At 53.1% G+C, this 27,490-nt stretch overlaps 1 protein-coding gene across 17 annotated transcripts in view, besides 3 other annotated features; it reads left to right on the top strand.

Moving 5' to 3' along the window:
* QTGAL (queuosine-tRNA galactosyltransferase) overlaps positions 1-27,490 on the top strand; it is a 109,622-nt gene that overhangs the window by 62,071 nt on the left and 20,061 nt on the right. For 14 of the 17 annotated variants that reach the window (XR_002957964.2, XR_002957963.2, XR_007065266.1 and 11 more), the window contains one exon: positions 23,954-24,049. The exons of the other annotated variants lie outside the window; for them this stretch is intronic. Coding sequence is in view for 6 of the 14 variants with exons in the window: in NM_001009905.3 (NP_001009905.2) it covers positions 23,954-24,049 (96 nt within the window). In the remaining 8 variants the exon portion in view is untranslated. The remainder of the gene's footprint in view (positions 1-23,953; positions 24,050-27,490) is intronic. 17 annotated transcript variants of the gene reach the window in all.
* Positions 3,293-3,587: an enhancer, noted in NCBI's record as "tiled region #7018; K562 Activating non-DNase unmatched - State 23:Low". NCBI's record gives its function as "activates a minimal TATA promoter and a strong SV40 promoter by Sharpr-MPRA in K562 cells {active_cell/tissue: K562}" and the evidence as "EXISTENCE:reporter gene assay evidence [ECO:0000049][PMID:27701403]".
* Positions 4,992-5,493: an enhancer, noted in NCBI's record as "H3K4me1 hESC enhancer chr17:80942083-80942584 (GRCh37/hg19 assembly coordinates)". NCBI's record gives its function as "activates a minimal SCP1, AML or CMV promoter by ChIP-STARR-seq in naive H9 embryonic stem cells {active_cell/tissue: H9 hESC(naive)}" and the evidence as "EXISTENCE:reporter gene assay evidence [ECO:0000049][PMID:30033119]".
* Positions 10,417-11,616: an enhancer, noted in NCBI's record as "CDK7 strongly-dependent group 2 enhancer chr17:80935960-80937159 (GRCh37/hg19 assembly coordinates)". NCBI's record gives its function as "activates an origin of replication core promoter dependent on BRD2, BRD4, P300/CBP, MED14 and CDK7 cofactors, with strong dependence on CDK7, by STARR-seq in HCT116 cells {active_cell/tissue: HCT116}" and the evidence as "EXISTENCE:reporter gene assay evidence [ECO:0000049][PMID:35650434]".

The raw sequence follows: 27,490 nt of genomic DNA, 5'->3' as shown, positions 1-27,490 counted from the left end.
TTCGACTCCACAAAGGTGCACTATCAACAATGTTGACTTTGTAAGCATTGTGCATGTCCGTAAAAACGTTGAAACTTCCTTAGTAAATGAAAAGATGTCCTTTTTGTACATCTGCATTTATGAAAGATGAAATTTCTTGAGATCTTGGCTTTTGGGGTGAATGTGTATGTGGTGGTAACCATCTTTTTTTTTTTTTTTTTTTTTAGTTCCAGAATACATGTGCAGAATGGGGGGTACATTTGTTACATAGGCAAACCTGTGCCATGGTGGTTTGCTGCACCCATCAACCCACCACCTAGGTATTAAGCCCTGCATGCATTAGCTATTTTTCCTGATGCCCTCCCTTCCCCCACCTCCACAACAGGCCGTAGTGTGTGTTGTTCCCCCCGTGTCCATATGTTCTCATTGTTCAGCTCCCACTTATGAGTGAGAACATGCAGTGTTTGGGTTTCTGTTCCTGTTTTGGTTTGCTGAGGATAATGGCTTCCACCTCCATCTATGTCCCTGCAAAGTACATGATCTCATTCATTTTTATGACTACATAATATTCCATGGTATACCACATTTTCTTTATCCAGTCTATCATTGATGGGCATTTGGGTTGATTACATGTCTTTGCTATTGTGAATGGTGCTGCAGTGAACATACGCGTGCATGTACCTTTATAATAGAATGATCTGTATTCCTTTGGGTATGTACCAGTAGTAGGATTGCTGGGTCAAATGGCATTTCTGGTTGTAGATCCTTGAGGAATCACCACACTGTCTTACACAATGGTTGGACTAATTTACATTCCCACCAACAGTGTAAAAGCATCCCTACTTCTCCACAGCCTTGCCAGCATCTGTTGTTTCTTGATTTTTAAAAAATCGCCATTCTGACTGGCTTGAGGTGGTATCTCATTGTGGTTTTGGTTTTCAATTCTCTGATGATCAGTGATGTTGAGCTTTTTATCATATGTTTGTTGCTGCCTAAATGTCTTCTTTTGAGAAGTGTCTGTTCATGTCCTTTGCCCACTTTTTGATGGGTTGTTTGTTTTTTCTTGTAAAGTTAAGTTCCTTGTAGATTCCAGATATTAGACCTTTGTCAGATGGACAGATTGCAAAAATTTTCCCCCATTCCATAGCTTGTCTGTTCACTCTGATGGTGTAGTTTCTTTTGCTGTGCAGAAGCTCTTTAGTTTAATTAGGTCCCATTTGTCAATTTTGCTTTTGTTGTAATTGCTTTTGATGTTTTTGTCATGTAATATTTTCCCATGCCTATGTCCCGAATGGTATTGCCTAGAGTTTCTTGTAGGGTTTTTGTAGTTTTGGGTTTTACGTTTAAGTCTTTAATCCATCTTGAGTTAATTTTTGTATAAGGTGTAAAGAAGGGCTCCAGTTTCAGTTTTCTGCATATGGCTAGCCAGTTTTCCCTGCACCATTTATTAAACAGGGAATCCTTTCCCCATTACTTGTTTTTGTCAGGTTTGTCGAAGCTCTGTTTGCAGACAACATGATCCTATATTTAGAAAACTTCATCATCTTAGCCCAAAAGCTCCTTAAGCTGATAAGCAACTTCAGCAAAGTCTCAGGATACAAAATCAATGTGCAAAAATCACAAGCATTCCTATACACCAACAGTAGACAAGCAGAGAGCTAAATCATGAATGAACTTCCATTCACAATTGCTACAAAGAGAATAAAATACCTAGGAATACAGCTAACAAGGGAGGTGAAGGACCTCTTCAAGGAGAACTACAAACCACTGCTCAAGGAAATAAGAGAGGACACAAACAAATGGAAAAATATTCCATGCTCATGGATAGGAAGAATCAATATCGTGAAAATGGCCATACTGCCCAAAGTAACTTATAGATTCAATGCTATTCCCATTAAATTACCATTGACATTCCTCACAGAATTAGAAAAAACTACTTTAAAATTCATGTAGAACTGAAAAAGAGCCTGTATAACCAAGACAGTCCTAAGCAAAAAGAACAAAGCTGGAGACATCACACTCCCTGACTTCAAACTATACTACAAGTCTACAGTAACCAAAACAGCATGGTACTGGTACAAAAACAGACACATAGGCCAACAGAACAGAATAGAGATCTCAGAAATAAAACCACACATATACAACCATCATGGTTTTTGATGGATCTTGTCCAAAGACTTAGGTTGTCCAACAGAATATTTCAGATGACAGGAGCTATTTCTTTATGAATACGGTTCATCTGCTCATTAACCGTTATACCCATGTGACTGTCATTAGTGTACTTGAGTGTTTATGCTTGTAAAAATGTGTGTGTTAGTATTGTCTGTTTTATTGTGTAAAGTGGCCTATGAAGCATGCTGTCATGTTTTTGTACATTTCTCAAATAAGTCTTCTTTTTAAAATTGTAAGCAAATGTCTTTCAAATCATTATTTATTTTTTCCTTTTTCTCGCTAACATTTGAGATAAAGAATTTTTTAAATTTTTATGGACACATAGTAGGTGTATATAATTATGGAGCACATGAGATATTTTGATAAAGGCATGCAAAGTGTAATAACTATATTAGGGTAAATGGGGTAAAGAATTTTTAAAATTATTTTTTCAAGAACTACATTTTTCAGGATTGTGATTTGGGGGATTTTAGACTTTAGGGATTTTGATCTTTCAGGATTTCAACATCCTGGATTATGGTGTTCGAGACTGTGTCAGCCCCACTCCAGGGCAGGAGAAAGGCACTCTGCCTCGTGGGGGTATGGTCAGGTTAGTGGGACAGGGAGGAGCGGGGGCAGCCAGCTGCACACCTCAGTCCAAGAGGAGAAAGGTGCTCTGCACCCCATGAGGGGTGCCAGGACGTCCACCTCTAATAGCGAGGTTGTGGGAGTAATACGCCCCAACATTACGGATTTCTTGTGATCGCACCATGTAATGAAATGCTTTCTGAATTTTGAAAATGTAATTTTGATCTGCAGTAAAACTGAAACCTTAGTATAAGGATCACTGGCTTCTAACGTTGGTGCTGTTTATGATGACGGCATCAACTATTCCATTAAGTGAGTTCACAGTGATCAGGGTTCCTTGATGAGCTTTGCTTTCCGCATCAAATCTGCTTCACCAGCTTTCAAGTTCTATTCCATAACATCCTGTGTCACGCGGAAAAGCGGGGGAAGAAAAAGACCTTCTTCCATTTAGATTTACTTTTTACATTTGGAGAAGATGAATATTCCATTGATGGCCTCTTACAGGTACCAGTGGTTAAAGCGTGGGGAAGCGAATTTGTTTTCCTGCTTTTAAAGCGATTTCCTTACTTCCAGCCCAGCTTGTGGGTATAGCCTGTCCTCTCCCAACACACCTGGCATTGCACGGGAGCCTCCAGCCAGCAGCGTATGGTGGGGGCGGAGGGGCGTGGAGGTGCCTGCCAGATGTTGACGATTACCAAGGAACAGAGGCTGCTCTGTGGCCACGGGGTCGGGCTGCCGCAGAGCAGCTATTTCCTGTCTGCACCGGCGGCAGCAAGCCCAAACTGTGGGCTGCAGCCGAGTTCACGGGCACAAAGTCACCTTTGTGAGTGTCTGGTGCAGCTTCCTGGCTGGGAAGCGGAGAGGGTCCCCCACGTTGAAAGGGTGTGCAGAGTCCCTCGCCCTGAGCTCCTGGCCCGGTGTCAGGTTTCTGAGCAGGGCTCCTGAAGACAGCATGAGGGCTTTGATCCCAGGCACTCAGCACTTGGAGTGCACAGAGAACAGGCCCGGACCCTCCTGAGGAGCCCTCCTGGGTCCTCCCATCACCAGAGTTCAGAGATTCTGGGATGTGCCACTTCTTCAGGGACACACACTTTCCTGGAATACACGATGATTTTTAATGCTTTTCTTAAAGAATGCCAGCTGTCTCACGGGGCAGGGAAATGGAAAACCTCGTAAGGCCTCTCTTCTTCTTAACTGGGAAGTAAAAATTCCATATTCATTGTGGAAGCTTTTGGCCTCCGATCAACCCTGGGCTCCTGATTTTGGTTTTCCTCTTTGGAGATTCAGTCCCGCGTATTAGGGCAGTGGGAGGCGTGGGGTCGCCGCAGCCTCAGGACCTGCTGAGCACGGGCTTCTGCTGCTTTTGATTCTTGGGTAGCAGGAGTCACGTGAAAACGGTGCCACTAAACACCAAGGATGTAATTGAAGTGGAGGAGGCACAGTTTGAACCAGAAATTCATGTTCCGAATCGAGGGGTAACATGAAGACCCAGTCATAACAAATAAATCAGGTAGGTCCTCTTAGATAGAATTTTCCTTTAGCAAGTTAGTGGGAATTAACGTGTGAAGTTCAAAGAAGAGATCTCATTTAAACCATTTCTCAGCTGTTACATTAACAGAAATCACTTCCAACTATTTTAATAAGGTAACTCAGCCACCAAGTCAAGTTTTATGTTCATTGTCTGAGTCACATTTGTGATGTGGGAAGTGGCATATTTTGATTTGACTTTTGATGTGTCTGTTTGACATGCCTGATGGGATAGTCACCACATACAACGTTAAATCAGAGCTGTGTAAAATTAACACTGCTAATTCTAAACAAACCGAAAGGTGAAAGTTGTCTATGCCAGTGGCCTGGGGTGGTGCCTGCCTGAAAGCGCCCCTGTCTGAGACAGGCCCTCTTTGTACCTTCTGTCCCTTCCCCAGGGGGCTGCATCTCCTGATTCCAGGGAGGCCCAAAGGGGAGGCATGGGCAGAACCGCCACCCGGCTTCCCAGGTTGCCTTGGGCCCTTCTGGAAACTCGAGGGAGGGGGTCCCAGCAGGGCCACGAAGGGGACTCAGAGGTCCTGGCAGCTTGAAGGAAGTGGACAGGGCTGAGATGCATGCTCCTGCTCTAGCTACCCGGGGTGGGCCGCACTCACCAAGAAGGGAAGGCAGACAGTGGTGTGACGCGGACCCCTGCTGCCCTGCACGTCTCCTGGGGGGATCCCTGCTTCCCCGCCGTCCCAGCTCAGGCCCCCATAAAGGAACACTACAGACAGGGCAGCTTAAACAACAGACATTTGTGTTCTTAAAGTTCTTGGGTCTGGAGGTCCAAGCTCAGGCTGCTGGCAGGGTGGGTTCCTCCTCATGCCTCTCTGTGGCTTGCAGATGGCACCCTTTCCCTGCACGACCCTGTAGCCTCTCCCTGTGTGCTCACATGGCCTCTCCCCTGCATAATCACGTGGTCTCTCCCTGCATCCTCCTGTGGCCTCTCCCTGCGTCCTCCTGTGGCCTCTCCCCTGCATAATCACGTGGTCTCTCCCTGCATCCTCCTGTGGCCTCTCCCTGCGTCCTCCTGTGGCCTCTCCCTGTGTGCTCACATGGCCTCTCCCCTGCATAATCACGTGGCCTCTCCCTGCGTCCTTCTGTGGCCTCTCCCCGTGTGCTCACGTGGCCTCTCCCCCACATCCTCACATGGCCTCTCCCCCGTGTGCTCACGTGGCCTCTCCCCTGCGTGATCATATGGCCTCCTGTGTGCTCACGTGGCCTCTCCCCTCCCCCACGTCCTCATGTGGCCTCTCCCCTGCGTGATCATATGGCCTCTCTTCTGTGTGCTCACGTGGCCTCTCCCCTCCCCCACGTCCTCACGTGGCCTCTCCCCCATGTGCTCACATGATCTCTCCCCCGTGTGCTCACGTGGCCTCTCCCCTGCGTGATCATATGGCCTCTCTCCTGTGTGCTCACGTGGCCTCTCCCCTCCCCCACGTCCTCACGTGGCCTCTCCCCTGCGTGATCATATGGCCTCTCTTCTGTGTGCTCATGTGGCCTCTCCCTGTGTGCTCACTGCTGGTGTCTCTTCCTCTTCTTATAAGGACAACAGTCCAGGGCCCCACCTTTGGGACTCACGTAACCTTAGCTACCTCCTTAAAAGCCCATCTCCAAATACAGTCACATTGGGAGTTAGGGCTTCAACCCGTTAATCTGAGGCACACAGTTCAGTCCTCAGCACTTGGACACCCTCCTCCGCCCCGGGGCCCCTGCCCTGCCTGGTGCCCCTGCCCGCTCTAGGGCTGCATAACGGGAGCCGCTGCCCCCACGGAGCATCTGCTGTGCGACTGTTCCTGGCGGCGCCCATCCTGTCACCATTGCTGAGCTGTTCCTTTCCTTCCCCCAGCATCTGAACGGCACCTGCCACAGGTCGGCAGGAATGAGAAGTGAGAAAAATGAGACCCACTCTTCGTAGTTTCTGATCTCATGGTTCTGTGTGGGGCTGGGAATGTGTGTCTCTAACGCGTGCCCGAGTGTTTAAAATGGACTCTGAGAATGTGTCACACTGAGTCCACGTGGAGGTCAGGCTTCTGGCGAAGTGTGCATGAAAAACTGCTTCCCCCCAGGATGGTAGAGTCATTTTGACAAAGTCTACCCAATTAAAAAAGGTTGTATTTTGAAATAATTTTAGACTCACATAAAAATTGCAGAACTAAAACATATATATATTTTGAGATGGAGTCTCGCTCTGTCGCCCAGACTGGAGTGCAATGGCGTGATCTCGGCTCACTGCAACCTCCGCCTTCTGGGTTCAAGCAATTCTCCTGCCCCAGCCTCCCGAGTAGCTGGGATTACAGCCACGTGCCATCATGCCTGGCTAATTTTCGTGTTTTTGTAGAGACCAGGTTTCAGCATGTTGGGCAGGCTGGTCTCGAACTCCTGGCCTCAGGTGATCCATCTGCCTCGGCCTCCCGAAGTGCTGGGATTACAGGTGTGAGCCACTGCGCCCAGCCAAAAAATTGCAGAAATATTAATAGCACAGAGAGTTCCTATGTACCCCCCATCTCCTCCACCCCCAGCTGCTAACATCTTATATAACCAGAGAACAAGGACCCAAACCAGAAACTCCACGTGGATACGATGTGGCAGCCACAGACCCCATGCAGTTCACTTATTCTTGGTGGAGGGAGTTCTGTGAGACGTCCCCATGTTTCCAGATCAACACGACAATCAGGACATCGAGGGTCCCATCACCCGGAGAAACTGCCTTTAGAGTCACATTTTCTCCTGACCTGTCCTAGTCTGTCCAGGCTGCTAGGACAAAAATACCATAAACTGGGTGGCTTATAAACTACAAACATCTGTTTCCACCGTTTTGGAAGCTGGAGTCCCAGATCAAGGCACCAGATTTGGTCTCTGTGAGGCCTGATTCCTGGTTCTCACCGTGTCCTCACGTGGTGGGAGGGACAAGGCTCTCTGTGAGGCCCTTTCGTGGGCTCTGATCCCATTCACGTGGCGGGAGGGAAGAGGATCTCCGTGAGGCCCTTTTGTGGGCTCATTTTCCAATTACATTACTGGTTTTGTTGTTGAATCTGAGCGTTTTCTTCTGGACATAAGACCTCCATTGGAGATAAAACTTGCAAGTACATTTGATCCTTGAATAACATGAGTGTGAACTGGGAGTCCACTTACACACGAGTTTTAAAAATAAATATATTGGAAAATGTTTTGGAGATTTATGACAATTTGAAAAAAGTCGCAGATGAACTGACACCCGGGACAGCAAGAACCCTCCTTCCTCGGCCCGCTCGGCCCATCACCACAGAGGTGAGAAGGATGGAGGCTCCTCCACCCGCTCGGCCCATCACCACAGAGGTGAGAAGGATGGAGGCTCCTCCACCCGCTTGGCCCATCACCATGGAGGTGAGAAGGATGGAGGCTCCTCCACCCGCTTGGCCCATCACCACGGAGGTGAGAAAGATGGAGGCTCCTCCACCCGCTCGGCCCATCACCACGGAGGTGAGAAGGTTGGAGGCCTTTGTGATGATCCACTTCCATTTAATGAATAGTCAATGTGTTTTCTCTTCCTTATGATTTTCTTAGTAACACTTTCTTTTCTCCAGCTTACTTCATTGTAAGAATACGGTATATAATACACAAAACGTACAGAATGTACAGGACAATGTTGATCACCTGTTTATGTTATTGGTAAGGCATCCGGTCAACAGTAGGCTCTCAGCCATGTCAACCTAAAGAAAGATGCTGAGGCAAAGTTAGTACATGTGGAGGGTTTATTTGGGCCACGTGTGAGGACGGCATCCTGGGGGACGTAGATTCAGGTGGCTCCGAACATATGCTCCAGTTAGCAGCAGTTACAGTGGGTTTGAAAGAAAGAAAGAAGGGGCAAGTTCCCACACTGGTTCATTAAAATAACATAAGCTATTGACTGGCTGTAGATGGTTCTTTGCATCACAGATTCCAGGAGCATGAAGATAATGGGTGAAGGTCACATTGTCTAACTTGTGTAACATTTCTTGTGATTTTTCAGCCAGCCTGGAAACAACAGGGAAGGAAAGGAAGACAAATGCCTTTAAACAGTTGGCCCCACATGGGTGCGGCGGGGGAGGCATGATGCAGGTCTCACCCTCGCAGCTCCGCTGGGGCTGGTGAATACCTCGCGTGGCGCCGACTCCTCTGAGCCACTTTTGTTTCTCAGTGCTTAAGTTTTGGGGGAGTCCAAGGTTATACGTGGATTTTCGGCTGCATGGGGAGTGGGTCACCCTAAACCCTGTATTGCTAAAGGGCCTACCTCATTTCCTCCTGATCTGTGGCTGGAACTAGGATCATGGATTTGGCGTTTTATCCAGGATCCCTGACTCTGACCCCCTGTAATTATTTCCTAAGTAACTAGAGCAATAAGAATATCTTTTAAAGTATTGAGCCTTTTGTCCTTGGTTTCTGAAGTAAATTCTGAAAGATAAAGCTGGAAGAGTCTTTTGTTTACAAGTTCCTTCAAACACACCTGAGTTTATGTTAATGAGGCATTTTTGGAACACCCCTAGATACCGCAGGATGAGGGGGGCTGGTTGCCAGGGGAACCAGCCATGTGCTCAGAGGGTTGGAACTTTGAGCCCCACCCCCAAACCTCCGGGGAGGGAAAGGGGTTGAGGCTTAGGGTGATCAGCAATGGCCCACGAGCTACGCAACCACACCTACATCATGAACTCGTACAGTAACCCAAAGGGACGAGCCTCGGGGACTTCCAGATGGCTGAACACATGCAGGGTCCTGGAGGGTGTTGGGCCCCAAGAGGACCTAGACCGTCTACACCACTTCCCCCATACCTTTCCCCGTCATCTCTTCATCTGTATCCTTGAATAACATTCTTTTTAATAAACTGGTAGGTGTAAGTAAGTGTTTCCCTGAATTCTGTGGGTCCCTCTAGAAAATTAACTGAATCCAAGGAAGAGGTTGTGGGAACCCCGATTTATAGCTGGAGGGTCAAACAGCCTGGGACTTCAGTTGGCATTGGAAGTTGAAGAGAAGGGGTCACGGGGACTGAGCCCTCACCTGGGGGGGTCTGAGGCTGTCTCCAGGTAGATGGTGTTGGGATTGAGTTAGAGGATGCCTGACTGGTGTCTACTCCAGAACTGATGGTTTGCTTGGTGTATGGAGAACAGACCCGCACATTGTGGTGGGAGAGCAGAGGAAAAACAGCCTTTTCTACGTGGGGGCTTCCCTTTTCATCCACGTAGAATTTTTCACAGAACAAAAGTTTCTAATTTTGATGAAGTCCAATTAATTGATATTTTTTGATGTATTTTTTTAATATGCTTTGAGTGTCAACACCCAAGACTACTTCACCTAACCCTAGGACATAAGGATTTTCTTCTAAAAGTTTTATAGTTTTACATTTTACATTTAGAGCTATGTCCTTGTAGGCTGAGTTAGTGTGAGGTTTAAATCAAGGGTTTTGTTTGTTCGTTTTGGCTTATGAATGCCCACATGTTTCTACACTGATTTTGCTGAAAATCCTTCTTCCACTGGTTGCTTCTGGGCCTTGTCAAAAAACCATCTGACCACAGAGTGTGGGTCTGTCTGTTCCTGGACTTTGTTCTAGTCCATTGACCTGTGTGTCTGTCCCTCCACCAGTAACATCATCTTGATGACCAGGTCTTAAAATTGGTTAATGTGTTTCCTCTAACTTGTTTTTGGCTATTCTAGTATTTCTGCCTCTGTATATAAATTTTAGAATCAGCTTGCCTATATTTACAAAGAATCTAGCTGAGATTTTCATAGCAAGTGAGTTAAACTTACAAATCAATTTGTATAGAGTTGACATCTTTACTATAGAGTTTTCCAATTCACTATTTGTCCCGTCCTCCACTGAAATTTTCCTCGATTTCCTTCATTCACATGTTGTAGTTTTTAGTGTACAAGTCCTGTACATTTGTTAGATTTATACCTAAGTATTTGTTTTAGGCAATTATACATGCTACTGTGTGTTTAATTTTGGTTTCTAATTGTCCACTGCTAACTTACAGAAACGTATACCTAAAAGTTACAGGACTGTTCAGACTCTATTTCGTCTTGGTATAATGCAACTTACAGCTCTGGCAGCTTGCGATTTTTGAGGAATTGATCCACTTGCTCTAAATTATCCAGTTTGTGTGTTTAGGGTTATTTGATAGTATTCTCTGTGATGCGTTTAGTATCTGTGAGGCCTGTAGTAATATCCCCTTTCATTTTAGGTATTAGTTATTTGGGTCCTCTCACTTTTTTATCAGTCTTGGTTTATTATCTATTTTATTAATCTCTTCAAAGAGCCAGCTCTTGGTTTGACTTTCCTCTATTGTTTTTCTGTTTTCAATTTCATTCATTTCTGCCTGATTGTTTCTTTTTTCTGCTTGCTTTGGGGTGTCATTTTGCTCTTCCTTTGTGGTTTTTCTAATGTGGAAGCTGAGTTTTTTGTCCTCAGACCTCTCTTCTCTTTTAATGTAAGCATGTAGAGCCAGCAACTTCCCTTTACATACTACATCAGCCGCATTGTACAGGTTTTCAATGTACTTCCATTTTCATTTTGGTCAATACATTTTAGATTTCTTTTGAGACTTCCTCTTTGGCCCATGGATTATTGGGAAGTGGGTGGGGCTGCTGCTGATTGCTGGGGTTGTGGAGAAGACTCACCAGGCCCTTGACATGTGGGAGCAATGGCGTCTTCCTCCTTGTCTCTAGACTCAACTGGATTCGTACTGAGAAGGGCATTCTGAGAAACTTCACTCCCAGCTTCAACTGGTCCAACATAGCAAAATCAGATTTTTTAAAAAATAGAAGGAAGTAAATTAACTAAGAAAAATACAGAAAAATTTCCTAGAACCAAAACGTACGAGTGACCTGATTAGAAGGGCTCACCTGGTGTTGCGTGCAGGAAATGAGACCTGCATCCGGGTTCACGGTCGGGATGCTTCAGAGCCCAAGCACAGTCAGAGGGAGGAACACCAAGGAGCAGGAATCGAAGAGCCCGGAATTCCTCACTCACAGCAGCGGAATCCAGGAGACACCAGGACACTAGTTTCAGATTTCTCACAGAAAGGATTTTGAACTAAGAATTTTATGCCTCACCAAAGTGTCAATCACGTGCAGAGATATAACAACCTTTTCATATTCAGATTCAACATATCCATCTCCGATAAAACCTTCCTCGGGGCTTTGCTGGAGCCAGTCCCTAAAATTAGGAAGCAAACTGAGGAAGGTGTGAGATGGGACTCACAGACTCGCAGCCTGGGGGAGAAGCAGAAGGGACCCCAGGAGGAGGCAGGGGAGTTCAGCCCTGGGAGCCGGGAAAGGAAAGGCCACGCGTGGCTTGTTTTTATAGAAATAAAGGATTTTAGGTACAAACAGCACGTGCTTTTTTAAAATTACGGAATTACTCGGGGAGCAACGGAAAACACCTGATGCCCTCCACGTAACCAGAGGTGGCCCGGGTCGCATGGTGACCACCCACTGCCACCACCTGTGGGAACCTCCAGCCAAGCCCCAGGGCAGGAGGAGCTTGGGAAACGGAAAACAGGAGTGCACATCGGTCGGGATGGAGCGGAAATGCTGGGCACCAAACCCCGGTGATGAGAAGACAGAAACCGCAGGAAGTACTAGAGCGTACGTTTCCATGCTCGTGTGTGACATGGGCAGCGTGAAAACGAGGCTGTTCTGAGGCCTCGTTCCACCCCCCTCGGTCCCAGACTGGAATCAGCCGGCTTCTCCTCTCGGGCGTCACCGTCCTGCCCTGCGTCCAGTGCCTGAACACCTCCATTTCACAGATTCTGTGTGATTTTCTAGTTGTCTGAGGAGGGAGAGTGGTCCAGCTCTTTCACGGTGACCAGAAGTGGGAGTCACCAGCGGTGGGTTTCGAGTTGCACCCCAGACCCCCCGGAGAGCCTGAGGATTGGGGCGTTGCTCGCTCCCCACTGTAGCTGCGTTCCAGATACCCATGAGTGCTTTTAAACAAAGAAAAGTTTTTTTTTGTTGAAAATGTTAAGTACACCAAGGGGTAGAGACCACTGTCACATAACGGTACTCACCCCCCTCCCAACACTGAGCACCCGGAGTCTTTCGAAGCAACCCCAGACCCGACCTCAGTCACTCCTGAATACTCCGGTGGGTGGGGGGTGTTACTGTTCATGGGGTTCCATCCTCAAGCCGTTTTAAAGTCACGGATGCAAACACGGTCCGTGTCGGGGCGGCGCCGCAGCTGTCCTTATTCACGCAGGTTCCGACTTCGCGGCCTGTAAGCCCCTTTCCTCTTGCTTTCGGGCCTCCGTTCATGGGTGTCCTCGATCTTTCCTTCTAATAGAGAATACGTTTCCCAGTGTTCCTCTGCCTCCCTTTGTTCAGTGGGCCAGCGTTTGGCTTACGTTAAGTTTCTCCCCTGCCGTGGCCTTCGAGGTGGGCACTGCGGGTCAGCAGGACTGTCTTCCGGCCTCCCTGCCTGGGGCCACCTGGGGCCCTGACTCCCTGACGGTGGCCTCCGGCCCCTGGGAGGATGGAGTTCGGCTCTGTCCCGGGGCCCTCGTTCCCCATAAGTGGCCTCCAGCCCCTGGGAGGATGGAATCCGGCTCTGTCCCGGGGCCCTGACTCTCCATAGTGGCCTCTGGTCCCTGGGAGGATGGAGTTCGGCTCTGTCCCGGGGCCCTGACTCTCCATAGTGGCCTCTGGTCCCTGGGAGGATGGAGTCCGGCTCTGTCCCGGGGCCCTGACTCTCCATAGTGGCCTCTGGTCCCTGGGAGGATGGAGTCCGGCTCTGTCCCGGGGCCCTGACTCTCCATAGTGGCCTCTGGTCCCTGGGAGGATGGAGTCCGGCTCTGTCCCGGGGCCCTGACTCTCCATAGTGGCCTCTGGTCCCTGGGAGGATGGAGTCCGGCTCTGTCCCGGGGCCCTTGTTCCCCATAAGTGGCCTCCGGCCCCTGGGAGGATGGAGTCGGGCTCTGTCCTGGGGCCCTGTTTCCCCATAAGTGGCCTCTGGCCCCTGGGAGGATGGAGTCCGGCTCTGTCCCGGGGCCCTGACTCTCCATAGTGGCCTCTGGTCCCTGGGAGGATGGAGTCCGGCTCTGTCCCGGGGCCCTGACTCTCCATAGTGGCCTCTGGTCCCTGGGAGGATGGAGTCCGGCTCTGTCCCGGGGCCCTCGTTCCCCATAAGTGGCCTCCAGCCCCTGGGAGGATGGAATCCGGCTCTGTCCTGGGGCCCTGTTTCCCCATAAGTGGCCTCTGGTCCCTGGGAGGATGGAGTCCGGCTCTGTCCCGGGGCCCTGACTCTCCATAGTGGCCTCTGGTCCCTGGGAGGATGGAGTCTGGCTCTGTCCCGGGGCCCTCGTTCCCCATAAGTGGCCTCCGGCCCCTGGGAGGATGGAGTCGGGCTCTGTCCTGGGGCCCTGTTTCCCCATAAGTGGCCTCCAGCCCCTGGGAGGATGGAGTCCGGCTCTGTCCCGGGGCCCTCGTTCCCCATAAGTGGCCTCCAGCCCCTGGGAGGATGGAGTCCGGCTCTGTCCCGGGGCCCTGACTCTCCATAGTGGCCTCTGGTCCCTGGGAGGATGGAGTCTGGCTCTGTCCCGGGGCCCTCGTTCCCCATAAGTGGCCTCCGGCCCCTGGGAGGATGGAGTCGGGCTCTGTCCTGGGGCCCTGTTTCCCCATAAGTGGCCTCCGGCCCCTGGGAGGATGGAGTCCGGCTCTGTCCCGGGGCCCTCGTTCCCCATAGTGGCCTCTGGTCCCTGGGAGGATGGAGTCCGGCTCTGTCCCGGGGCCCTGACTCTCCATAGTGGCCTCTGGTCCCTGGGAGGATGGAGTCCGGCTCTGTCCCGGGGCCCTGACTCTCCATAGTGGCCTCTGGTCCCTGGGAGGATGGAGTCCGGCTCTGTCCCGGGGCCCTGACTCTCCATAGTGGCCTCTGGTCCCTGGGAGGATGGAGTCCGGCTCTGTCCCGGGGCCCTGACTCTCCATAGTGGCCTCTGGTCCCTGGGAGGATGGAGTTCGGCTCTGTCCCGGGGCCCTCGTTCCCCATAAGTGGCCTCCAGCCCCTGGGAGGATGGAGTCCGGCTCTGTCCCGGGGCCCTGACTCTCCATAGTGGCCTCTGGTCCCTGGGAGGATGGAGTCCGGCTCTGTCCCGGGGCCCTGACTCTCCATAGTGGCCTCTGGTCCCTGGGAGGATGGAGTCCGGCTCTGTCCCGGGGCCCTCGTTCCCCATAAGTGGCCTCCGGCCCCTGGGAGGATGGAGTCCGGCTCTGTCCCGGGGCCCTGACTCTCCATAGTGGCCTCTGGTCCCTGGGAGGATGGAGTCCGGCTCTGTCCCGGGGCCCTCGTTCCCCATAAGTGGCCTCCGGCCCCTGGGAGGATGGAGTCCGGCTCTGTCCCGGGGCCCTGACTCTCCATAGTGGCCTCTGGTCCCTGGGAGGATGGAGTCGGGCTCTGTCCTGGGGCCCTGGTTCCCCATAAGTGGCCTCCGGCCCCTGGGAGGATGGAGTCCGGCTCTGTCCCGGGGCCCTGACTCTCCATAGTGGCCTCCGGTCCCTGGGAGGATGGAGTCCGGCTCTGTCCTGGGGCCCTGGTTCCCCATAAGTGGCCTCCGGCCCCTGGGAGGATGGAGTCGGGCTCTGTCCCAGCCCCACGTTCTTTGCCTGCTTCCACCTGTGCCTGTCTGCGCCGTGCAGACACTGGTTCCCAGCCTGCCTGTGCCTCCTGCCGCTGTTCCAAGCTGTGGGGGGGACCCAGCTCACCCCCAGGGTCCAGTTCAGACTGGAAGGGAATGTGGCCCCCCACACCCTCAGCCTTGATGTGGGGCCAGGGACACCCGCTGTGGGGGGTGAATGTGCTGATTAGACCCTGGGTGGATCCCCACACACAAGCAGTCAGAGGGTCATTTACAGCCTGAGCTCACTCCGCAAATATGATCAGGATGGGAACAGGCAGCTGGCAGCCTCCTGCCTCACTCCTGTCCCTCACGAGGGGACGCAGCTCTGCCTGACCCCTTGGGGAGGCACCAAGTCCGCCCTGACTCCGCCCCGCCTGAATCTGCTGGCTGCTTTGCGGGCAGCTCCTGAGGGCAGCTGTGTTCTGCTGAGACTGAGCCACCTCTGGGCCCTGGGCCTCTGCTCGAGGCGGCCAGCGTTCAGCCAAGCTCGTCCTTCACCTCAGGGGGCCTGTGTGGTTGTCACGCACAGTGTCCAGGGTCAGCTTGTCAGCGCCGGCCACCCGGGCGGCCTCAGTCAGCACGCGTTCCCCAAACCTGTGGGGCCCACGCTTGGTGCTGAGGGTTGATGAGGAGCCAGGGAGGACCAGGAGAGTGGAAGTGGGACCTTCTGCCAGCTCCGTAGAGGACAGCCTGGAACCGGCTCAGACTGGAGGCAGGGAGGCCCAAGGGGCAGGAGAACTCTCCGAGGGGCAGAAACAGCACTGCAGTGGCAGTCGCCCATGGAGCGTGGAGTGCTGGTCCACGACACCCTCTCGACCCACGGTGAAACGCGCCCCATGGGGCAAGGGGCTGGGCTGCTTGCTGGTCAGTGGCAGGCGGGGTGGGAACACACAGGTACACGGGGCCCACCTGGGTCTCTGCCACTCTCTCCTGTCCACACGGGAGAGGAGTTGAATCCTAAGGCATCTCTTAGCAGCCCCAGCGCCATTGTGGGGCCACTGCCTGAGAGCCCCTGAGCTCCATCCCCTTTGGGTCACCTCTCTGGGACCCAGTCCGACTGTTCGTAAGATTCAAGGGTGCTGGCTGCTCTGTGCCCGCTCGTTTGACGCTTACAACTACACGCAGGTAACTTCTTAGCCGGCTCCGAACTCAGTGTGTGGTTCCCGCGGTGTAGGCTTCGGTTGCACCAGGTTCCCTCCTGTGTCCCAGGAGCAGGAAGAGGCTGAGTCCACCCCCACCCCACCCCGCCTGCCTCCACGACACCCAAGGACCAGGTGCCAGGTGAGAGCCGGACTCCAATCCTGCCCGGGCGTCATGTGCTGCTGGAAAAAGCTTTTCATCTCCTTTTCCATTCTCAGGAGCGCTGCTCCCCGGGAAGACCGTGAAAACCGGCCTGGTCTATATGAAAGACTGAAATGTTATCAGTTCCGTATCTCCGTGTTTCTTTTCCTTAAAAGTTTGTCCTTCATAGCTCAGTGATTTTACCTCGCTCTAATCAATTATCAATCATGAAATTGAAAAACCCACAGATGGTCACAGGTGTTTTCAATCTTCAGAGTCGTTATTTGCTTTGTGTCTACTCGTCCTCCTGTTAACAGACCACCAGGGCGTCTCCAGCTTTCATTGTGGGTTTGCCCTTTTCTCCTTTCGGTTCCTTTGGTCTCGGTACAGTGTCTGTGCTTCCATTTTCTGTCCTGTGTGAGCCCCAGGCCTGGGCTTGTGAGTGGGCGGTGGCCCCAAGGCTGTGCACATGGCCCTGTCCAGGCTGGCAGCCGCGGGAGCACACGAAGGCATCAGAGCTCCGTGCTGTGTGTGACACAGGGGCCCCCTCCTTCGGGGAAGCGTTCCAGAACTCTCCAGCCCCTTCCGCTCACAGCCCCAGGTCCTTCTGGCCCCTATGAGTGTGGTGTGGTCAGTACCGGGTCCTTCTGGCCCCTGTGGTGTGGTGTGGTCAGTACCGGGTCCTTCTGGCCCCTATGAGTGTGGTGTGGTCGGCACCAGGTCCTTCTAGCCCCTGTGGTGTGCTGTGGTCGGCACCAGGTCCTTCTAGCCCCTGTGGTGTGGTGTGGTCAGTACTGGGTCCTTCTATCCCCTGTGGTGTGGTGTGGTCAGTACCAGGTCCTTCTGGCCCCTGTGGTGTGGTGTGGTCAGTACCGGGTCCTTCTGGCCCCTATGAGTGTGGTGTGGTGGGCACCAGGTCCTTCTGGCCCATGGTGTGGTGTGTCGGCACCAGGTCCTTCTGGCCCGTGGTGTGGTGTGGTCAGTACCAGGTCCTTCTATCCCCTGTGGTGTGGTGTGGTCGGCACCAGGTCCTTCTGGCCCATGGTGTGGTGTGTCGGCACCAGGTCCTTCTAGCCCCTGTGGTGTGGTGTGGTCAGCACCAGGTCCTTCTAGCCCCTGTGGTGTGCTGTGGTCGGCACCAGGTCCTTCTAGCCCCTGTGGTGTGGTGTGGTCAGTACTGGGTCCTTCTATCCCCTGTGGTGTGGTGTGGTCAGTACCAGGTCCTTCTGGCCCCTGTGGTGTGGTGTGGTCAGTACCAGGTCCTTCTGGCCCCTGTGGTGTGGTGTGGTCAGTACCGGGTCCTTCTGGCCCCTATGAGTGTGGTGTGGTCGGCACCAGGTCCTTCTGGCCCATGGTGTGGTGTGTCGGCACCAGGTCCTTCTGGCCCGTGGTGTGGTGTGGTCAGTACCAGGTCCTTCTATCCCCTGTGGTGTGGTGTGGTCGGCACCAGGTCCTTCTGGCCCATGGTGTGGTGTGTCGGCACCAGGTCCTTCTAGCCCCTGTGGTGTGGTGTGGTCGGCACCAGGTCCTTCTAGCCCCTGTGGTGTGGTGTGGTCGGCACCAGGTCCTTCTGGCCCCTGTGGTGTGGTGTGGTCGGCACCAGGTCCTTCTGGCCCCTGTGGTGTGGTGTGGTCGGCACCAGGTCCTTCTGGCCCCTGTGGTGTGGTGTGGTCGGCACCAGGTCCTTCTGGCCCCTGTGGTGTGGTGTGGTCGGCACCAGGTCCTTCTGGCCCCTGTGGTGTGGTGTGGTGGGCACCAGGTCCTTCTGGCCCCTGTGGTGTGGTGTGGTCGGCACCAGGTCCTTCTGGCCCCTGTGGTGTGGTGTGGTCGGCACCAGGTCCTTCTGGCCCCTGTGGTGTGGTGTGGTGGGCACCAGGTCCTTCTGGCCCCTGTGGTGTGGTGTGGTCGGCACCAGGTCCTTCTGGCCCCTGTGGTGTGGTGTGGTCAGTACCGGGTCCTTCTGGCCCCTATGAGTGTGGTGTGGTTGGCACAGTAGCCCCCACGCCTCCTTCCCAGCCTTTCTTTCTGCTGGTCCTCGCCTTGGTTTCCCACTCGGAGGCCCCAGGGAGGAGACGGCGCGTGGCTGGCCCCAGTCGCTGCCACGGAGCTGCCCCCACCCCAGCGCTTGCCCATGCTTGGAGGACTCGCCGGGCGCCTGGCAGTTCAGGTGCAGCCCCTAGTGCTCTGTGCTGACTGAGCCCCTCCCTGGAGCTGGCGGAGCCCGTGTCCCTGCTCCGTCCTCACGGTGTCTGTGCGCGTCCTTATGCTCTTGTTTCTGGATCGTTGTCACTAAAGAATGGATTGAGCTGTTTTGCAGACAGATGCGTAATTCTGTCCGATAGAAACGTCCCGTGAGCACAGACCGGCCTGGATATAATTGCCGTGGTTTGGATGTGGTTTGTCCCCGTGAAACGTTGAAATTTGACCCCCAGCGTGGCTGTGTGGGAGGTGCTGGGGTCTCGAGGGGACCCCTTGTGCACGGATGAATGCCTCCCACAGCGCTGAGTGAGCCCTCGCAGGAACGCACTGCGCCCCACGACGCCGACCTGTGGAACGGACCCGGCTGCCTCGGTTTCTCTCCTGCGTCCTCCCTTGCCACATGCTCTCTGCGTACACCACTGCCTTCCGCTCTCCACCCGGGTTAAAGCAGCCTGAGGCCCCCCGCAAAGGCAGCTGCCCGGTCTTGGACATACCCCAACCAGAAGCATGAGCCAAATGTCCTATCAGTGACATTTTACATTCTTTTTCCTATACCAAGTCTCCAGAATGTCATGTGTATTTCACACTCACAGCCCACGGAGGACCTGCCACAGCTCCAGGGCTTCGGCCACGTGACCAGGGCACAGCCACCGTGTGCAGAGGCCTCGCATCACGGCCACGCTGGGTGCGGAGGTCGCGGCCACACCGGGTGCGGAGGTCGCGGCCACGCCGGGTGGGGAGGTCGCGGCCACGCCGGGTGCGGAGGTCGCGGCCACGCCGGGTGCGGAGGTCGCGGCCACGCCGGGTGCGGAGGTCGCGGCCACGCTGGGTGGGGAGGACCTGTGTTTGTTTTCTCAGGTCGTCCTCACCACCGTGCAAACGGCAGAAGCTCCAGGTGTCTGGCTGCAGAGTCAACCTGCCAGAAAATGCCTCTGGATTTTTCAGCAAGCAAAAGTTGAGAACAGGAAGCTAAATGGTTGCTTTGTAATCGTGAAATCCGTTTTTCTGAGGGTTGAGGGAAGGCTGTATTTGTCCGGGCAGATGTTTCACATTTGCTGGAAACTGCAGCCTCTCAGGGGGCCTCGGGGCCCGTGGGGTATTCACGGATGTGCCAAGCCCCCTGCCTGGAACTGGCACCAGGTGCTGTGGCCTTGGCTGGCCTGGCTTCCAGGACCCCCTCGGGGCTCTTCCTGATGTCCCAGGGGGCACCCTGTGTGACAGGCACCCACCTGTCACGACGCAGAAGCACCAAAGCTTTGATGTGCGAAACGTAGGTTGCTCGAAGTTATCCCATAGAACTGCGTTATTTCACTTTAAAATGTTCGTTCTGAGAGTTTCCTTGGTGGTAGCAAAGACTTTTTTTTTTAATTTTTGGCCAGGCACGGTGACTCACACCCAGAGTCCCACAACTTTGGGAGGCCAAGGTGGGTGGATCACTTGAGCTCAGGAGTTCAAGACCAGCCTGGGCAATATGGTGAAACCCCATCTCAACAAAAAATACAAAAATTAGCAAGGTGTGCTGGTCCACACCTGTAGTCCCATCTTCTCAGGAGGCTGAGGCAGGAGGAGCGCTTGAGCCGGGGAGGTTGAGGCTGCAGTGAGCTGTGATCACGCCACTGCATTCCAGCCTGGGTAACAGCAAGACTCTGTATAAAAAAAAAATTTAAAAGATGGGGTCTTGCTATGTTGCCCAGGCTGGTGTGCAGTGGCTGTTGACAGGTGTAAGCACAGCATACTGTAGCCTCAAACTCCTGGCCTCAGGCGAGGCTCGAATTCCCACCTCAGCCTCTCTGCTGGGACCACTGGCGCGTGCACCACCACGCTGGGCTTTAAAATTTTTACTTAGGCCGGGGCAGTGGCTCACGCCTGTAATCCCAGCACTTTGGGAGGCCGAGGCAGGTGGATCACCTGAGGCCAGGAGTTCAAGACCAGCCTGGGCAACGTAGCGAAACCCTGTCCCTACTAAAAATACAAAAATCAGCCCTGGGCAATGTAGCGAAACCCTGTCCCTACTAAAATACAAAAATCAGCCAGGCGTGGTGGTGCACACCTGTAGTCCCAGCTACTCCGATGGCCGAGGCACAAGAATCGCTTGAATGCGGGAGGCAGAGGTTGCAGTGAGCTGAGATCGCGCCACTGCACTCCAGCCTGGGCGACAGAGCGAGACTCTGTCTCAAAACAAAACAAAATAAATTTTCTTTTCTTTTTTTTTTTTTTTCCTGAAATGGAGTCTTGCTCTGTTACCCAGGTTATAGTGCAATGACAATCTTGGCTCACTGCAACCTCCGCCTCCTGGGTTCAAGCGATTCTCCTGCCTCAGCCTCCAGAGTAGCTGGGACTACAGGCACCTGCCACCACGCCCAGCTAATTTTTATATTTTCAGTAGAGATGGGGTTTCACCACATTGGCCAGGCTGGTCTCAAACTTCTGACCTCAGGTGATCCGCCCACCTCAGCCTCCCAAAGTGCTGGGATTACAGGCATGTGCCACCATGCCTGGCTAATTTTGTATTTTTAGTAAAGACGGGGTTTCTCCATGTTGGTCAAGCTGGTCTCGAACTCCCGACCTCAAGTGATCCGCCCGCCTCAGCCTCCAAAAGTGCTGGGATTACAGACGTGAGCCACCGCGCCCGGCCAACAAGACAAATTTTAAGGCTATGCCTTTGCAGTCAGGCCCAGGCACCCTCAGCCTTAGGCGTCCACAGATGCGACGTCTGTCCCTGCAGGTTAGGTTAGGTTCCCACTTTTTAGGGTTTTGTGTAAGTGGGGTCACACTGTGCACACTGGTGACTGCCTCCCTTCCCTGTTGCCGACAGACATCTGTGCACCGTGCACACTGGTGACTGGCCTCCCTTCCCTGTTGCTGACAGACATCTGTGCACCGTGCACACTGGTGACTGGCCTCCCTTCCCTGTTGCTGACAGACATCTGTGCACCGTGCACACTGGTGACTGCCTCCCTTCCCTGTTGCCGACAGACATCTGTGCTGCCCTGACCGGCAGTTTGTTCCCTTGGTTGCTGGTGAGGGCTCCACTGGACTCGTGGTACGGGCACCACAGGGCTTATCCATTCACTGTTGACGGACATTTGGGGGCCTCCAGTCTGGGGCTGCTGTGCGTGGAGCTGCCGTGAACACACACGGGGACGGTGCTGGGACTGCCGTGAACACACGGGGACGGGTGCTGGGGCTGCCGTGAACACACATGGATGGTGCCGGATGGACGTGTGTTTGCATTTTTCTTGGGTAAATGTCTAGGACTGGAACGGCTGGCTGCGTGGAAGTCTGTGTTTAACTCTCTAAGAGCCTGCCTGCTCTGCAAAGTGTTTATACTGTTTTTCCTTCCCTTCAGCGTTATGTAAGATTTTTACTTGGTACTGTCAGTGTTTATTTTTATTTTTACTTTTTATATTTTAAGAGACAGGGTCTCCCTCTGTCGCCCAGGCTGGAGTGAGTGCTGTGGTGCGATCACAGCTCACTGCACCCTTGACTTCCGGAGCTCAAAGGATCCTCCCACCTCAGCCTCCTGAGTAGCTGGGCCTACAGGGGAGCATCACCATGCCCAGCTACTTTATTATTATTATTATTATTTGTAGAGTTGCCCAGGCTGGTCTCAGAGTCCTGGGCTCAAGCGATTCTCCCGCCTCGGACTCCCAAAGTGCTGGGATTACAGGTGTGAGTCACTGTGCCTTATTTTCAGTTTTTAAAATTGTAACAGTCCTAGAGGGTGCAATGGTATTTCATTGCAGTTCGAATTTTATTTCTCTGTCTCTGGAATCTGCAACCAGATGCACGTAGCACCCCCACCCCCGCAGTGTGACAGCCCCGAATGTCTCCAAACAAATGTTCCTGGGGACAAATCAGCCCCAGGTGAGGGCCACTGTGCTGATGAGGACTTGTCTTAACCAGCGACCTTCCTCAGGATGGACGACAAGCAGAAAGTCTTTAGGCTTCAAAGGGATCCACAGTGAGACGAGGCTGTGTTACACGATGGTTCTCAGCCATTGTGTCTCTGCCTGACCTGCGTGTTCACACACACAGCACCTCCAGGAACGTACAGATGCTGGCGTAATCTCAGTGTCAGTTATAGGAAAACATCACTTCAGCCACCCAAGAAGTGAAAATGTCGTGGGCTCCATGGTGTCCCCCCAAAATGATATGTTGGTGTCCTCACCCCCAATCTCAGAATGTGGGCGTTGTTTGGAAACAAGGTCTTTGCAGATGCAAAGTTCAGATGAGGCCGTTAGGTGGACTTCCCTACCGAAAACTCATTTCCCTGATGACTAGTCACATAGAGCACGTTTTCACGACCTGACTAATTTACGTCTGAGGAAGTGTTTTCAGCCCTTCTCCCATCTTTAACTCATTGCCTGTCTTCTTATTAATGGGTGCTGAGGGTACTTAGTGTTCGCCGAACGTACATCCTCAGTGAAACGCACTTATTGCAAATGTTTTGTCCCAGCCTGGATTATCTTTTCGTTTTCTTTGCAGGATCTTTCAAAGAACCAAATATTTGACTTTGGTGGCATCTGGTTTATCCATGTCTTCTGCTGTGATTTGTGCCTCTTCTTACCTGAGAAACCTTTGCCTACCCCATAATCACGAATGTTCTCCCTGGATGAGCTCGTTGCCTCTTTTGTGTTCAGCTCACTGAGGTCCGGTCTGAGGCTGGGGCTTTGTGTTTGGAGCCTGAGGCAAGGGTTGAGGGCCATGGTTTGTAAGGACACCAGTGGTTCCAGCGCCATCTCTCATTTCCACCACTGACGCCCCTGATGTCTTCAGCAAACATCAAACCCCAGCCAGGCGGCTCTGCTTCTGGTCTCTGTTCTGTTCCGTTTGTCTGTCTGCCCATAAGCTGATACCAATCAACCTTGATCACCATAGCTTTGTAGTAAATCTTGAAATACAGTCATGAAACTTCAACTTTGTTCATGGTTTTCAAAATTGTGCTGGCTCTCCTAGGTCCTTTGTGTTTCTATATACATTTTAGAATCTCCGTTGAGCCAGGCATGATGGCTCACACCTGTAATCCCAGCACTTTGGGAGGCTGAGCTGGGAGGATCGCTTGAGGCCGGGAGTTTAAGACCAGCCTGAGCAGTGTAGTGAGACCCCATCTCTACAAAAGAAATGTAAGAAAATAGCCAGGCACGGTGGTGTGCGCCTATAGTCCTAGCTGCTTGGGAGGTTCAGGTGGGAGGATCGCTTGAGGCCAGGGGTTTGAGGTCAGCCTGAGCAACAGAGTGACAAACATCTCTACAAAAAAAAAAAAAAAGTAAAAATCAGCCAGGTGTGGTGGCACACGCCTGTGGTCCCAGCTACCTGGGAGGCTGAGATAGGAGGATTGCTTGAGGAGGTCAAGGCTACAGTGAGTGATGATCACAGCACTGGAGAAGGGACACGTCAGCCACGTCATGAAGCCCCTTGAGCCCCGTCCCTGTGGAGAAGGGACACGTCGGCCCCGTGGTGAAGTCTCTTGAGGCCCTGACCCTGTGGAGAAGGGACACGGATTCATCTGTCACTTTCTCGTGACACTTTGTGGAAATAAACTGCAGGTTGTTTGTGACAAGCTGTTCTTTTCCGCTAACTCTGTCAACGTTAATTGCTTCTAGGTTTTCACCTCAAATGGCCCCACGGTGATCATGCCCACCTGGTTCTGCTCGCGAGCGTGGTTCTCCCACGTGGGCCCCTTTAACGAGGGAGGTCAGGTAAGGGCCGAAGGCGGGAATCAGGTCCCTCCCCCAGGTTCGGGGCCCTGTCTCTGTGTGTGGGCTCTGCACACTGGCCACCCTCCGCCTTGCCATGCCTCCGGGGCTCTGCAGATTTAGGAAACCCCTGCCTGAGGGTCCTCCCGGTGCCCCCTCCTGGCACCTGCCAGCATCTTAGTTGTTTTGCTGAAAGCAGGGGGTTTCTGCATGAAGGCTGTGGGTGCCCTGGGCATCTGCACCTGACCTACACTGGCTCCAGGTTACTGCATCCTGGTTTAAAAGCTGTGTCTGGGAAAGCGCAGGACACGGAAGCTTTTGGCAGAGCTGTCTCTGGGACAACAGAGGGAGAAGGGGAGCCCATCCTCCCCCCGGGGGTGCACCTGCAGGCGTCTGTGTCCCCGTCCCCCCCATGGGGGTGCACCTGCAGGCGTCCATGTCCCCGTCCCCCCCGTGGGAGTGCACCTGCAGGCGTCTGTGTCCCCATCCCCCCCGTGGGAGTGCACCTGCAGGTGTCTGTGTCCCCGTCCTCCCCATGGGGGTGCACCTGCAGGCATCCGTGTCCCCGTCCTCCCCATGGGGGTGCACCTGCAGGCGTCCATGTCCCCGTCCTCCCTGTGGGTGTGCACCTGCAGGTGTCCATGTCCCCGTCCTCCCTGTGGGAGTGCACGTTCAGGCATCCATGTCCCCGTTCTCCTGTGGGGGTGCACCTGCAGGCGTCCGTGTCCCCGTCCTCCCGTGGGGGTGCACCTGCAGGCGTCCGTGTCACCGTCCCCCCCGTGGGGGTGCACCTGCAGGCGTCCGTGTCCCCGTCCTCCCCGTGGGGTGCACCTGCAGGCGTCCGTGTCCCCATCCCCCCGTGGGGGTGCACCTGCAGGCGTCCGTGTCCCCGTCCCCCCCGTGGGGGTGCACCTGCAGGCGTCCGTGTCCCCGTCCCCCCGTGGGGGTGCACCTGCAGGCGTCTGTGTCCCCGTCCCCCCCGTGGGGGTGCACCTGTAGGCGTCCGTGTCCCCGTCCTCCCCGTGGGGGTGCACCTGCAGGCATCCATGTCTCCGTCCTCCCCGTGGGGTGCACCTGCAGGCGTCCGTGTCCCCGTCCCCCCGTGGGGGTGCACCTGCAGGCGTCCGTGTCCCCATCCCCCGTGGGACGCACCTGTAGGCGTCCGTTTTAAATACTAGCTATGTCTATTGTTTTTTGTGTTTTAAAAACTCCAATTCTATGTTGGTTAGATTTTCTTAGTCTTTCTAACCCTTTTCACTTCTTTCATTATATAATTTCTATTTTCCTTTCTTCAGTGTCCCTTATTAAATTTTTAATTAAAATCATTTTCTCTTAAGGATTTTGTAATTTAGTCTTCATTTTTCATATATTTTGTTCCTTTTTTTTTTTTTTTTTTTTGAGACAGGGTCTCACTCTGTTCCTGAGGCTGGAGTGCAGTGGCTCACTCACTACAACCTCTGCCTCCCAGGTTCAAGCAATCCTTGTACCTCAGCCTCCTGAGTAGCTGAGACTACAGGTGCACACAACCATGCCCAGCTACTTTTTTCCTATTTTTGGTAGAGACTGGTTTCGACATGTTGCCCAGGCTGGTCTCGAACTCCTGGGCTCAAGCAATCCACCCCCCCGACCTCAGCCTTCCAAAGTGCTGAGATTAAAGGCATGAGCCACCACACCCAACCAATTTTGTCTCTTCTTAAAATTTCTTTTTTTAGTTAAATCGATCCAATTTTATATAAAAGCTTTATTGAGGTATAATTCACATGCCATACAATTCACCTATTAAAATGTGCAATTCAATTTTTTTTTAGCAAATTTATAGGGCTGTACAATCACCAGTCACCACTACCATCTAATGTTAGGAAGTTGTCATCCCCCAAAAAACACTTCCTGCACCCAGGGGCGCACCTCATCTAACAGCCACCTGCCAGCCCTAGCCAAGCACTAATGCACTTTCTTCAATGCTCTAGACCCACCCCATTAGGGTCCAGTTTTGCACTTAGTCCTTGAATTTCTGATTCAAGATGGGTCTCCGCCACCTCCCCGCATATCCCACCCTGTAGCCTGAAACACTGGTGGAGGGTGTGGAATTTATCTTGGTGGGTTATTTACAGGGGTCTCTGTTTCCTGGTTTGGGGTTTGTTGCTATTGTAGAGGGAGAGGCTGAATTTTTATCCATGGAAGTGTTGCCAGTTTTTAGTTTTCTCTGCTGGACTTCATGTCCCTGCGTTCCGCGGACTCCAATCGCTGGGCCCTGGCTCGAGCTCTCCCCCTTCTGTCCCCGCGTGGTGACTGCTGCTTCCTCCTGGAGGTTCGCGCTGGGGATGGGGCTCTAGAGAAGGGCGGGTGGCGCTGGGGACGAGCCCTGGGGAAGGAAGCGCGTCCCTGACTCGGCTTCCTTTTGCCTCAGGATCCGAGTCTCCACAGCCTCTGGCCCGGCCTTCCTGGGAGTGGCTTTAGCTCACGCTTTTCTCCTCCAGGCAGTTCTGGGTGCTCCATCCCCCAAGGCTGCCCGAGGATGGTTCTGTGAGCAGATTGGGGCTGGGCGGCGGCCACACTTCCTCCACTCGGCTTCTTCCCTGATGCCTTTCTGGGTTGTGACCCCTCCCCCTCTCCCTGCGCCCCGCCAGGGGTCCTCCACACCACAGGGCAGTCCAGGCACCTGGAGGCTGATTGGGAAAAGCCTGGGGGAGGAGTGAGGCCATTTCGGGCCTCTCAGGTCTCAGCAGCAGCAATCAGGGGAGGGGAGAAAAATGGGACAGATCCTCTGCGTCCCCCTCCTCCCAGGGCAGAGGCACCACCCGGGAGCGGCTGTTGACTAAATTCTCACTTTACTGCCAGAAAATAAGAAAACCCCAAGGGTCGGGCTCTTCTGGTGATAGGAAGAGAGAAACCTTTTTTCTCTTCTTAAACCTGTAACATGTTGAGAGTTCCAGTGCTCTTTAGAGCTGCCTTTGAAGACACAGAAAATTAAAGAAAATACCTCAGTGACCCCTGCGAGGGTCCGTGTCCACCAGCACCCGCGGGAGCCTCCACCCTAAATCACCCGTGTGAGGGTCCGTGCCCACCAGCACCCACAGGAACCTCCACCCTAAATCACCCGTGTGAGGGTCCGTGTCCACCAGCACCCGCGGGAGCCTCCACCCTAAATCACCCGTGTGAGGGTCCGTGTCCACCAGCACCCGCGGGACCCTCCACCCTAAATCACCCGTGTGAGACAGCATGTGGGCTTCTGTGATTCCTTTGTCTTTATCTTATGGTGGATAAACTTTTAGCAGGGCTGACACATGATTTTGAGGTCTGTTCTTTGACTCAGCATCTTCTTACAAATCTTTCCATGTCATCGTGGTTTTTGTAAAAGGGATCGCCCTGGAGAGGCGGAGGTTAAACAGTGCCTTTTTTTTGGACGTGGAACCATAGCACTGCCTGTCTGTCCTGGGAGCAAAC

The sequence above is a fragment of the Homo sapiens genome, chromosome 17 (assembly GCF_000001405.40).
Source record: "Homo sapiens chromosome 17, GRCh38.p14 Primary Assembly".
Taxonomy (NCBI): domain Eukaryota; kingdom Metazoa; phylum Chordata; class Mammalia; order Primates; family Hominidae; genus Homo; species Homo sapiens.
This window is presented reverse-complemented; position numbering and strand designations above follow the sequence as displayed.